Raw genomic sequence first — 14082 nt, 5'->3', positions numbered from 1 at the left:
CAGCCTGGGTGACAGAGCCAGACTGTCTCAAAAAAAAAAAAAAAAAAAAAAAAAAAGAAAAGAAAAGAAAAAAGAAAAAGGAAAGGGTGTTTAATTCTGCTCAGGGCATGCAAGTCCCAGTGAGCGATGAGGGTCTTTCATAAAGAACCCTAACCATATCTCCACGAAGCTAATTTACTGTAAAGCGAATGGGCAGGGAAATTTCTACTCAAATTGGAGTTGAGAAATGGAGAATCAAAATATTAGCTTATAAATCAATCTTCCTTTCTTTATCTCCCAAAACACAGCTCCTTAAGTAAGCTGAGATTTGGTAGCAGAAGAGCGAGCATTCTGCTCTCTGCCTTATTTCTCCTGGGTTACTAGTAGGATGACCAACCTTTGTGGTTTGCCCAGGACTGTCCTGGTTTTACCACTAAAAGTGCCACTTTCCAGAATCCCCATAGTCCTATGCAAATCTAAAAAGTTGGTCACTCTAAGAGAAAAAGAGTATGTATAACTTTTAGCAACACAATCCTCACCAGCAAGAAAAGATAGAATCATTGCAGTTGGATTCAGCACACCCTAATGTCCATAGTTAATTCAGAAACACGTAAACCAGCAGGTCACAGAAGGCAATGAACGTGAACATGAGTGGAGAAGGGAGCTGGGGAGAAGGGCACAGCATCTCGCTGTTCAAGATCTTCTCATTTAGACTTCCTCCTTGTGAGAGAGGGAGGGGCCAGATATAACTTTTCCTTCTTCTGCATTCTATAAATGGGGAAATGTAAAAAAAGAGACAGTGCAGCTTGCTTGGCTTTCACAGCAGAGCCCACATGAAACACAGTTCTCCTGAATCCTAAATCATGATGCCTCCTAATGAGCACCATGATGTGGCATGGACTTCTAGTGCTTAGAACAACCCTACCTGGCCTGATTTAAGAATGAAGTGAGGCTAAATATCTTACCTCTGTCCCCTTAGCCATTAGTCTGGGGAAGTAGCATTTGACAATGAGGGGAGCACATGCACCCCCATCCCTGTGTACCTAAAACAGGCTCTCACTCGAGTTTGAAGTCGTACATTGACACACGTACCAGCTGGCTACTTCCTGTCCTCAGCCCAAGGCCTTCCAGCCATGGGTTGTGTTACAGGAGCAGAGGCCTCTGGAAATGGACCGCCTGGGTAGATAGACGCCTACCTTGGTGCCGTGTGCAAGTTTATCCTGTTCCGCACCCACCTCGAGTCAGAACCCTAGATGCACCAGAGCCACAGAGCCAGAACCTAGTGTTCCTTCACCCCTGCAAGCCAGAGATGGCTTTCCCATGGGGCACCACACTGGGGTCCAAGCTGCAGACCACACCAGTCAAGCTGTGTGGAGCGAGTGAGCTGCTTGGATGGTTTTCCTCAGAACTGCCTGCTGGCCCATCAGCTATTTTGCCTCAATTTTCTACTGGCACATTATCCTCCCTTTATCCATATTTTCAAGAAAATTATGCTGCAGAGGGCATAGTGTACTTCCACAGAGGTTAAGCGGAGGTTTTCTACCTCTGGAATTCACTTCCAGGAGAAGGTGGAAGCTTCTAGCACTCAGGGCCCAGCAAAAACGTGTGTGCACAAGGCCTGGAAACTTCTAGAGGGCTTCTAGGGGAAGAGGAAGCAGAGAGTCCATGGCTGGTCAGGAATGGGAGAGGGGCTTCCTTGCGAGAGAAGGCTGTACTCAATGCATGAATTAAACGTTGTTTAGAGCTTCCTTGTTATTAAAGCCACAGAACCTTGTACTAAGAACTGAACTGAGAAAATCAGAAATTAGAACTCAAAGAATTGAACAATGCATATCCTTCTCTTCAGGAGTTTTGTGTCTAACACTGGGGAAAATCAAGGAATCCTCACAGAAATAATTTGAGAGTGATGACAAGATGAGCAGTCACGTAGATTCACTCTGAAGGTTGTAATGTCAAACAACACGGAACAAAAATAATGAATTGGACCCACCTCAGACACAGGCTGCCTGGCTCCGTGGGCTCCCAGGGAACTTGATCCAAAGTAGGAAATACTGTGGGTCTGTCTGAATATCCATGGCTCTGTCAGATCCTCCAGGTTGCAAGCTACTTTTCCCAAGCTACTTTTAGACATTTGTAACTAAGAGGCTAGGGTTCTCTGGTAGCCTGCCCCTGACCCAGAAGAGAAGGTTTTCTGGGAGAAAAACCTGGTTTGCCAGTCCTTCCTCACACAGGCAAATTGAAATAAGGCCATTTTACTTCACACACAATCCATAGACATGTGCCTCCCTCATTTGCTCTACACTGTGTATGCACATGTCTGCCAGGCCCTATGCTGTACTAGGGATGTGGAGGTGGAAAGACTCCATTCCTGCTTTTCATGGCATTAGCTATCAAATCTTCTGACCCAGGGCTTCTCTGGTCCAAGGCCATAAGACCTTACAACTTACTAGGCTGGAGGAAAAGTGAGGTTGAGAAAAGAGGGTGCCCAAGCAACAGACAGTATGGTCAGCTCTAGACCCTCTCTAGCCCTCTATCCCACCAAGGTCTTCAAAGCTGCTGCAAAGCTCAGCCTTCTTACTATTGATAATATGAATATGCAACATCCCAGTAGGTCAAAGGCTCAGTTGTAATATGTATATAAAGGCCCCGAATTCCATCCCTTGTCCTGTCCTTTGGTTCCTGAGGAAAGATTTTTCAATAGATATTGCAACCTAGTTTAACAAAGAAAATCTGAGCCAGCATCTTCTGGTACAGACAAGCAGTTTGTATTTGGTAATGCTTATAAATCATGATGCTGATAGTTGCTACCTCTATAACATTAGCTAAAGGTGACATCTATATAATATGTATAACTTATCTGATCAACTGGGACTATAAACTGTGACAGAACTATCACCACCCACCCCTGAAGACCACTGGAAATGAGTTCTCAATCTGCAGGTAAACTCCGTGATGCCCGTGTGTCTGTGATCTGCCAGGGAGCTGTTGGGGTGCCAGCCCTCGTGCCACATGTTCTCGTGTGATGGCTTGCTTCCATCAGAGCCTCATCTATCCTAGTTTTTGAATCGGTTCTACCAGAAGAGAGCCAGGTCTCCTTTTATTTTCCATGGTCTTCCCAAGCACAGTGCCCCAGGAAGAGTATACTTATAACAGGTGCTTAATATGCATTGAATGAATGAAAAAATGAACAAACAAAAGAATGAGTGATTGGTCAAATGAGCTTCCCCCTGGCTTTTTAGTTACAGATATATGAGGGCTGATCCAGGAAAACCCTAGGCAGCAGAGACTTCGGTAGGCTCTGTTTATCACAGAACGTGTGGCTTGGCGAATGTAGTTGATCAGAAAAGAAAACGCCCAAATATGTGCTACTGAGAAGTATAGATGAAATTTTTGTTTTTTTTTAAAATAAAAATCAGCCTAGCCAGGGAAGCTGGGGAGCCCCCAGCTTGTGAGATGAAGCCACAAAATAACTGCAAGAATAGCAGATGGGGTGGATTTAGTTCCACAAAAGCCCCAATCCAACCCACCAACCTCCTTACAGTACACACCATACCCGATGCTGTTTATTGTTTTCTGCCCCAGGCACTGGCCAGCTCCATCTGGGGACATGAAAAACAAACCATTGCCTTGGTTGTTTCAATATCCAGTGAGTCCAACAAAAAGAGAAACCTCAAACCCTCACCAGCTGAAACCGAGAAAGGAATTCCTGTGCCTGAGCCCATGGGGGGACAGGAGCCTCTGCTGTAAACCCCATGCTTCCACTGCAGCCTGGGTGGCCTCGGCCAGGGCCTTTGCCGCTCCAGCCTCTGCTTATTAGCCTGGAAAAAGGGAAGTGAGATTTGCCATGCAGACCCTCTCCAAGCGAAGTGGTGTGATTTAATGAACCCTTGGAAAAGTAATCGCTTCTCACACCTGCAAGTGGTCCTTTGGGGTTCATCTTATGCCTCAGGACTCCCCACATTTCTTCTACTAGCAAATAAACTCCATTGGAGCCTCCCTTTTGTGGGTCTTAGGGACTGTTCCATCAGAAAAGGAATTCCTCTTCTGCTTTTCTGATAGAACTAAGGATGGGACCTCTGCTGAATCATTGCCCTCCCCAGTACCTAGGAAATAGAAGGTTTCTCCAAAAGTACACTTCATTCATGTCAATCATGGATAAACTTCGGCCAACACCACCACATAAGGTAGGAAAGAGGAAGCATTTTAACCTGAGCTCCTGGCCACTGCTTCCCAACAAGTGCTTTGGTTCACATTGATAAGCCTTGAAGTTCTAGATTCCTTTCTTTCCACTTTGCCCATGTTAGACACATGGTGGCCAAATAGCCAAAGGGTCTCTAATTTTACAAACGTGCTCTGAGAGTTGGATTTTATGATTGTTATTTTAACCAAATCTAAGACTAGAGAAGTCTGATTAAGTAAATGATGCAGAATCTTCTGTTTTGTAGGGTTTTTAGTAACATGAGTATTTATGTGGGAAGTAAAAAGAAATCAAGATAAAATCTGTACGTATGGTATAACCTTAATGATATTTGTAAAAGAAATGAAAGCATTAATACATTATGATGAAATTATGATTCATTCTTTTCTGTGTACTTTTTTGCATTTTTAAGTTTTCCATAGTGAGCAAGCATGACTTTATTTTAAAAATATATTATATAGACCGGGTGCAGTGGCTCACCTCTGTAATCCCAGCACTTTGGGAGGACGAGGCTGGCAGATCACAAGGTCAGGAGATCAAGACCTCCAGGCTAACACAGTGAAACCCCATCTCTACAAAAAATACAAAAAAATTAGCCGGGCGTGGTGGCGGGTGCCTGTAGTCCCAGCAACTCAGGAGGCTGAGGCAGAAGAATGGCGTGAACCCTGGAGGCGGGGCTTGCAGTGAGCTAAGATGGCACCACTGCACTCCAGCCTGGGTGACGGAGTGAGACTCATCCCCCTGATGATTAAAAGCAGCTAGGAGATGCTGCAGACAGGTCATCACTGTACCTAGAATAAAGCAGTCACAAGAAGGCTGGTAAACTCCCGCTAAGTGGGGAGCTGTGCACTGGCTTCAACTTCCAGTGCCTCTCCATTAAGAAAGTGTAGCATTTCTCTCTTATTCATGATCAAACTTCTTCAAAGTACTGGCAATGAACTTTGTGTACATTTCTTTACCTCCTATTCACTTTTTCAATTGTTTAAAACTTATTTAACTGTGCGATAAATTTAAACAATAAAATATCTAGCTACCTACCATCCAGAGTGAGCAAATTTTACTATTTTGTTATCATTTGCTTCAGATAATTTTTAAAGAAATAAGACATTACTGTTGAATCCTTGAATTCCCAATCTATTTTTCTCCCTCTTTTCCCAGAAATAACTTCCTTCCTGAGGCTGGTATGGCATCTTTCCTGTCCATGTTTTATACTTTCACAGCATATGTATATATCCACTTGCAATAAGTAGCATCTTGTACATTTTTCAATTTACATAAGTAGTATCAGGCTACAGATATTCTTCATCCTGATATCTTTTACTCAATTCTTTCCTAGTAATTGCTTAAGATTAATAGAACTAGAGTTTATTATTTCACATTAACTGTTATGCTATATTCAAGTATGATTATACAAATATTTAATCATTGGTCTATTGAGTGATCCTTAATTGGCTTCCCTAATTTCTCTATTATCTATTTTGTAGGTTTGCTATTGCCATTGTGAAACTCTGTGGATTTGCAAATTGCTATTTTGAATGGAATATATATATATAGCAATTTGAATATATATGTGTATATGTATGTACTATTATAGTTTATTAATTGACACCCATAAATATGTAGGAATGATACTAACTTCTCAGTGCTTATACCTTAAAAGTTCCCTTGGATTTTGTATATAAATGATTATATCTTCAAACAATGAAATTGGTTCTTCCATAACCAATCTTTATACCTCTTATTTCTTTTTCTCATCTTACTGCACTATCTTGAACTTTAGTACAGTTTTTTTGTTTTTGTTTGTTTTGAGACGGAAGCTCGCTCTGCCGCCCATGCTGGAGTGCAGTGGCACAATCTCGGCTCACTGAACTTATGGTTTCAAGCGATTCTCCCGTCTCAGCCTCCCGAGTAGCTGGGACTACCAGCGTGTACCACCACATCCAGCTAATTTTTATATTTTTGATAAAGACAGGGTTTCACCGTGTTGGCCAGGCTGGTCTTCAATTCCCAACCTCAGATAATCCACCTGCCTTGGCCTCCCAAAGTGTGGGATTACAAGCATGAGCCACTGCACCCGGCTAGTAAAGTTTTAAATAGAAGCACTGGTAACAAGAAATTTTGTTACATTCCTAACTTTAAAGAGAATGTGTCTATCATTCAGTCATTAAATATGATCTTTGCTGGAGGTTTTTGGTTACTGATTCAATTTTTTTTAAAGCTATAGGTTAAGATATATAGGTTTCTTCAGCTTGTCTATGTCTTGAGTCGAGATTAATAAGTTATATTTTACTATAAAATTGTACATACTGTCTACATTTTCAAATTATTGACATAAAAGACAATATTGTTTTTAATCTACATGCTATCTATAGTATATTCATTTTTTCATTTTATGTTGTTTTTCTCAATGTTTCCGGAAGGTTGTCTATTTTGTCATTCTTTTTAAGAAACTGCTTTGGTACTTGTTTATCTCCTTTGCTGTTTTTTAGATTACTTTTCATCAATTTCTCCTCCTACCACTTCAGGAATGTTACTTGTAGTTGTTTTCTCCTAACATTTTTGAATGAAACAGTGAACTCATTATTTTTCAATTATTCTTCCTTTCTAATATGTACATTTAAAATTTTCAGTGTTCTTCAATGTACCACTTTAGCTGAATGCCACAAATATTGTTCTAAATTGTGTAATTTTTTATTATTTAGTTCTAAATATTTTATGATTTCCATTATGGCTTCTTCTATGACACATGAAACATTTGTGTGCTATTTAATTTTCAAATTTGAAAATCAGAAGAATATCATTGAGAAGGACATTGATTCTACAATATTTATCTTTTTCGTGGTCTAGTATGTGGTCAGTTTTGAAAAACAAAATTCCAACGTATGCACTATGGGTGCAAGATTCTCTTTGTTTCCATTAGATCCTTTTGTGACAGACATCTGTTCTTAAGAATGCAGCATCCCCTCTCCCCAGGTCCCTTCTGTCAGTCAGGGCTTTCTAACTATTTCTAGTCAGTGTAACATGAGTGGAAGGGTCACGTCCCTCCCAGGCTGAAGCAGTGAAAAGCCATGCGTAAATCTCCACTCCCTTTTCCCCTCCTGCCATGAATGAAGAAGGCCACTTGTCCCAGATGATGGAGCTAAAAGGTAAGAAGCCTCCATTAGCCTCAGTGGGGCCACAGCCCCAGGCTCTTTTGGACAAACTATGAGTGAGAAATAAAATCATGACTATTAAGTCATTGACATTTTGTGGTTAAGATGTTTCTGCACCATCCCCTCTCCTAACCTCATAAATATGGCTTATTAACTATGTTATTCAAGTTTTCCTTTTTCTTACCAATTTATCACTTCATATACTATTTTCTGAGAAAGGTATGTTAGAATTATTATGATTATACAGTCATGCATTGCTTAACAACAGGTTTATGCTCTGAGAAACATGTCATTTGGCAATTTTGCCACTGTGCGAACATCACGGAGTGGACTTATACAATCCTAGATGATGTTGTCTACTACACACCTAGGCTATATGGTACAACCTATTGCTCCGAGGCTAGAAAACCATATAGCACATTATTCTATAGAATGCTGTAGGCAATAATAACAATAAGTATTTGTGTATCTAAACCATATCTAAACATAGAAAAGGTACCATAAAAATATGGTATAAAAGATTAAAATGTACTCCTGTGTACAGCACTTACCATGAATGAAGCTTGTAGGACTGGAAGGTGCTCTGGGCCAGGGAGTGAGTGAGTGGTGAGTGAATGTGAAGGTCTAGGACATTACTGTCTGCCATTGTAGACTTTATCAACAGTGTACACTTTAATAAATTAGCTTTAGCTTACTGTAACTTTTACTTTATAAACTTTTAAATTTAACTAGACTCTTCTATAATCTTTAGCTTAAAACAAACACATTGTATAAAGTATTTTCTTTATGTCCTTATAAGTTTTCTATTTTTTTATTTTTTAACTTTTTAAACTTTTTATTAAAAACTAAGACACAAACAATTACATATATTAGCCTAGGTCTACATGGGGTCAGAATCATCAGTATAATTGTCTTCTACTTCCATGTCTTGTTCCCCTAAGACCTTTCAGAAGAAGGCATAGAGCTGTCATCTCCTATGATAAAAATGCCTTCTTCTGGAATACCTCCTAAAGGAAGTATTCCTGAGGATGTTTTATAGCTAACTCTTTTATATAAGTAAAAGGAATACACTCTAAAATAATGATAGAAGGTATAGTAAATACATAAACCAGTAACAGTCATTTATTATCATTATCAAGTACTACGTACTATACGTAATTGTGTCCTAGACTTTTATATGACTGTCAGTGCAATAGTTTTGTTTATACCAGCATCACCACAAAGACATAAGTAATGTGTTGTGCTGCAACATTATGACAACTACAATGTCACTAGGTAAAAGACATTTTTCAGCTTTAATCTTATAGGACCACCACATGAGAGTCAGTCGTTGACAGAAACATTGTTATATAGCACTTGACTGCATTTATCAATTTCTCTCTGTACCCTAATTTTTGTCATTCCAAGAGTAATATATGTTTGATGCATATAAGATGCAATATAAAATCTTCCTGTTTTTTGTATCATCATATAATGATACTGTATCACTAGTAATTTTTATCTTAAAAATATTCTGTAACATTAATATGACACTGATTAATTACCTGCATTTTAATATTTTTCTGCTATATCTTTTTTCATTATATACATATACACATATGTACATGCATATTCACATATATTAATATAGTTGGAATATATTTTCACCCACTCTGAAAATCTGTATTTTAATAGATGTCTTCAAGCTGTTTATATTGGTAAGAACTGATATTTTTATTTGTTTCTTGTTTAGTTTTTCATTGTATTTCATGTTTGTATGACCATATTTTTTTACTTCTTTATACTCTTTTCCCAACTTACAACGGACTAATCAAGGTTTTTCTGTCTTTTCATCTTGATTACTTTTAAGAATTGCAGACGTACACATACACACACACTCATTCTCTCTTTCTCCTGCTCAGTACTCAATGGGATTCTACTATCTGAAGATTAAGCCTTTCATAAATTTATAAAAATTCTTAGATATCTTTGATTCCCTTACCAACTACATTGAGAAATTGAGGCACTAAAGGCTCTAGACAGAAATCCAAGAATTAAACATAGTTTCATTGTACTCAACTTTCAAACAGTTGCCCAATGCATCCAGTTTTGCCCTTAGAGATTTCTAATTCTATCCCCTGCAGTCCATCCTCTCAATCGCTGTCTTTGTTTAGACCCTCAGCCTCTCTTACCTGGAATGTAGGATTCTCCTAGCAGGCCTTCCTGTCTCAAGATGCCCCAGTCAACACATTAAGCCATAAAAGATAACAATAAATTGCTGTATTAAGCCAGTGAGTTTTAGGGTGGTGCTATAGTCTGAATGTTTGTGTCCCCTCCAAAATTCTTACATTGAAACCTAATCTCCAAAGTGATGGTATTAAAAACATGAGGGCTTTGGAAGATAATTGGGTCATGAGGGCAGACCCCTCATGAATAATACTGGTATCCTTATAAAGATGCCCAAGGGAGCTTGTTTGCCCCTTCTGACACGTGAGGACACAGAAAGAAGGTGTCATGTATGAGAAACGGGTCCTCACCTCACCCAATCAGATTGGCTGGCACCTTGATCTTGGCCTTCCCAGCCTAGACAACTATTAGCAATAAATTTCAGTTATTTATAAATTACCCAGTCTAAGATACTGTTATAGCAGCCAAAGGGACTAAGGTAGTTTCTTATGCAGGAGTTGATAACCGAAATACTATCATATAATGAATACTCAATACGTAGTTGTACAACGAAAAAGGAAACTGACACTTCATAAGTTTCCATGGGGGTAACTTATATTTGAGTTTCCTGTAATTTAGAAATACAGTGTACCTCTAGGAAAAGTAGTTCATTCACAAAGTCCATCTGCTATAGATTGAATGTTTATGTCCCCTCAAAATTCATATGTTGAAACTTAATCACCAATGTGACAATATTTGGAAGTGGGGCAATTAGAACATGATTAGATCATACAGATAGAACTCTCATGAGTGGGATTAATGCCCTCATAAAAAAGACCCCAGAGAGCTCCCTCACTCCATCTACCACATGAAGACACAGTGAGAAGATGGCTGTCAGTGAGCCAGGAAGTGGGCCCTCACCAGACACCAAATCTGCCAGTGCCTTGATCTTGGACTTCCCAGCCTCCAGAACCATGAGAAACAAATTTATGTTGTGTATAAGCCACCCAGTCTATGGCATCTTTATTATAGCAGCCTGAATGGACTAAGATACCATCTGAATAAAACATCCAGCAAAGCATATTTGCTGGATAAATGAACATTTTTCAAATACTTCCTACCTGCATCACACTCCTTGAGGATGTTATTCTAGAAACCACATAAAAATCATATATATATATATACTTTCCAAGTTGGAGAAGTAAATGGACTTGACCCACCAAAGAGAATTGAACAGAAAGATGTTGTAAAGTCAAGGCCAGTTTTTATTTACCTTCACTCTTTGGGGGTCAATCTAAAGCAGAAAGGATGCTTCATGTTGGAGTTCGGATCAGCCGGATATCTCAGCCCAAGTGTCTTCTGAGAAGACCACAGAAGGGGAATGTCAGATTGGAAGTAAAATCAGATATTCTTAAATGACTCTTTCAGCTTCTCACTTTCCTAAGAATTGGGAAAATGCTCAATATTACCTTTAGTAAGAATGAGCTTGCCCACCTAAAAAAGGCAAATGGTTTCGAGAGAGGAGTTTTATCCACTGATGCCTCATCAGTAGAACACATGATTTTCACTGAGCCTTGAACAAAAGTGAGGTGGTCTGAAAGTGATGTTCTCCACATCACTGAAACACAAAGCCCGGCCTGGATTGGGGGATTGGGTGTGCTAAATATATTTTATTTTCTCAGTCAGATCCACTTTCCACCCTACCTGGAATGCACAGACTGACACGTATGAGCACAATCAAGGGGTTCCATTGATATCTGACTTCCCATTGTGTTCAGACAATGGAAGGCTCTAACGAGAGGTCAGAAGGCAGGAGGACAGTGGAATCAGGGTATTGTTCCTCTAGCTCTACTCCTGTTGGTTGCCATCATTTGGCTGCCTTTCTCTACTGAAGAGCATAGCTCCTGTTGGGCAACCCTATCCATAGTTTTTGTTGTGTGTAGGATTTAGAAACCAGTCCTTCCCTTGTCCCTTTAGACCTAGGGACTTCCCTCTTCCCTTTGATCCAGTTAGCCTCCTTATGGATTGCAGATTCCTGAGGACTGAGAATAATCTTATTATTCTTTTTCTTCCTATTTAGGTCCTCCATCCCTTGTTACTCCCCACTAAATCCTGCCTATACCTTCATTAAACTCTTCGAATAACCCATACTGAGTGTGCTGGACTCCGCTACAGATGGTTTATGCTGCAGTGCCATTCTGTCCCTACCACCCACGTCCCCATGCCAGATATATTTTCTAAATCTGTGGTGAGAAGAGACAGGAAGGGGAGATAGGGGCCATTTCCTACCACAGTTTCAGGCATGAGTCTTCCAGCATGCCCTTCTTGGAGATTACATGGGCAGCTTACCCTGGGGCAGCCAGACCTTCCATCTTAGGTAACAGACCCCAGTGTTTAGGCCGTCTGCCCGTGTGGACTCTACACCATTTCTCTCCCCTGATGTATGAGGACTGAATGAAGAGATGGCCCATCTCAACGAGGCAAACAAATAAAAAACAAGGTCACTAATTCTGAAGAAGCAGAGTGAAAAGACATCGACCTGAAACAGAGCATTAAGAAGAGTCAAGAAATGCAGCACTTCAGAATAGGTAGAAGGGAAGTGGGCTGGAAAAGTTCCTCAGCATTTTTTTTTTTAAACTGTTTCTGGGTCTTTGTGGACATAGCGTGTTTAATGGGACCAAAGAGGCTGGACAGGGTTTTCCCAGTATTTTCCCATTTCTTCCTTCTTGCTAATCCAAGAACCTTCTCTCAAGCCTGCCCTTAGCAGTGGTTTTCATGCTGAACTCCAGGGCACCCTGGGTTCCACAGAAGCACAGGGGCCTCTTTGTGGGTGAGGGAAAGGCTGAGCAGGTGGGGCTCCAGGTCAGAGGCTGCCCCTAGTCCTGTCCACTCAAATTACCTCTTTATTCATTTTCCAAGTTGGGTTCTACATTGCATTTCATTTTTTAAAGGCAAGAAGGGGGAGTCTGTTACTTTTTTAAAAAAGAAAGAAATGAAAACCATTGCTCTTCCCTCTTCCCTTTGATCCAGTCAACCTCCTTAGGGATTGCAGATTCCTAAGGACTGAGAATGATCTTATTATTCTTTTTCTTCCTATCTTAGGGCTCTCACAACATCGATATGAAGCTGAAAAGTTACCCCAAAGCTGAGCATCTTAATGTTGAAGCAATGCTGGTGATCATCGCCTGCAACTTTCCATTTTGTTACCATATTCCTGAGAGGGGGACAACCATCCTCTGAACACCAACAAGAACAGGGAGTTCTCTCTCAAGAGAGCAGCCCACCTCATTCAACAGCTCTAATAACTAAAATGCCTGCAGTTATATAGGGGTATGACTTGGTCATTTGTCTTCCAGACACGGAAGAAGTACATGGCCATGCTCCCATTATCTAAATTCAGCCACTAAAGAGTAAGTTTCTTCTCCAGTCTAACATGCATCAAAGTCTTCATTGTGCTTATATGAATTCTTATTTATCTATGTTCTTTTTAAAAAGTAAAGCCCAAACTGGAATAAGTTAGATGTGGTATGACCGAGAAAAGTAGAAGTAACCTGGATGCCACACCAGTGTTAGAAGAGCCTAAAATGTTATTATGTTATTTTTAGCAACCTCATCACACTGGGAGTTTATTTATGGTTTGTGGTAAATAAACACCAAAGTCTTCCCTTAAGCTATATTTTTCTATCTTGTTCACAGCCAAGTTTTTTTTCTAAATATAGGATTTCATATATATCCCTATTCTATTTTATTCTACAGTTTCAGTCCATCACCATAGCTTGTTGGAATCTTTAAAAACTTTTAACTCCATTATACAACATAAACAGGGTTAGGTAGCATATCTGTAACTTATGAATAAGAAAGTTAACTGATGGTGCTTTGCTTCAACTAGCATCCAGATCATGAAGTTACCAATCACTGCCATATTGTACCCATGCAACAGGTTAGTTCATGTATTGGAAAATCAGCAATATCCTCAATTTATTATTGAAGAGGAATGAATAAACAAACCTGCAATTTATACAGGAACATATTACATCCAAACATAACATCCAAATCAGGTGTCCCTTAAAGAGATAAAAGGTTAGGAACCTTTAGCCAGTGAGCTCAAATGGCCATGGAGAATGGGCAAAGACATGAGCAAAATGTGTTATTTCCAGGCCCTGGGAGCATCATAGCAGCAGATCAAACAGCAGAGAATACTGCCCTGATCCTCTGTGATCCATTGAGACTGGGAAAAAAGAAAAAACAAGACGACTGCATCAAACCTAAGGAACTAGCCCTGGGTGGGTACAGGGAGAAGCAGAGAGACTTGCCTTCAGGTAAAATGAAATGGTTTGCATAAGATGAAGATTTCCATTGATAATAACCAGAAAAATTTGATTTATTACAAAAAAGTCATATATTACAAGGCACCTGTGATGGTTAATTTTATGTGCAATTTGACCGTGCTAAAGGATACCCAGATAGCTACCAAAACGTTATTTCTGGGTGTGCCTATGAGAGTGTTTCTAGAAGAGATTAACATTTGAATCAGTAGATTGAGTGGAAAGGATTCCCCCTCACCAATGTGGGTAGAAGTTATCCAATCTGTTGAGGGACCTAATAGAA

The 14082-nt window shown here is 39.9% G+C and overlaps 1 long non-coding RNA gene across 1 annotated transcript; it reads left to right on the top strand.

The window, feature by feature from the left end:
- The first annotated feature begins 11932 nt into the window (after nucleotides 1–11932).
- Nucleotides 11933–13715, top strand: LOC105370776 (uncharacterized). Its single transcript, XR_932121.3, has 3 exons — nucleotides 11933–12062; nucleotides 12577–12884; nucleotides 13632–13715. It is a non-coding gene; the product is annotated as an uncharacterized LOC105370776 (long non-coding RNA).
- The last annotated feature ends 367 nt before the right edge of the window (nucleotides 13716–14082 follow it).

This window comes from Homo sapiens, chromosome 15, assembly GCF_000001405.40.
Source record: "Homo sapiens chromosome 15, GRCh38.p14 Primary Assembly".
Taxonomy (NCBI): Eukaryota; Metazoa; Chordata; class Mammalia; order Primates; family Hominidae; genus Homo; species Homo sapiens.
This window is presented reverse-complemented; position numbering and strand designations above follow the sequence as displayed.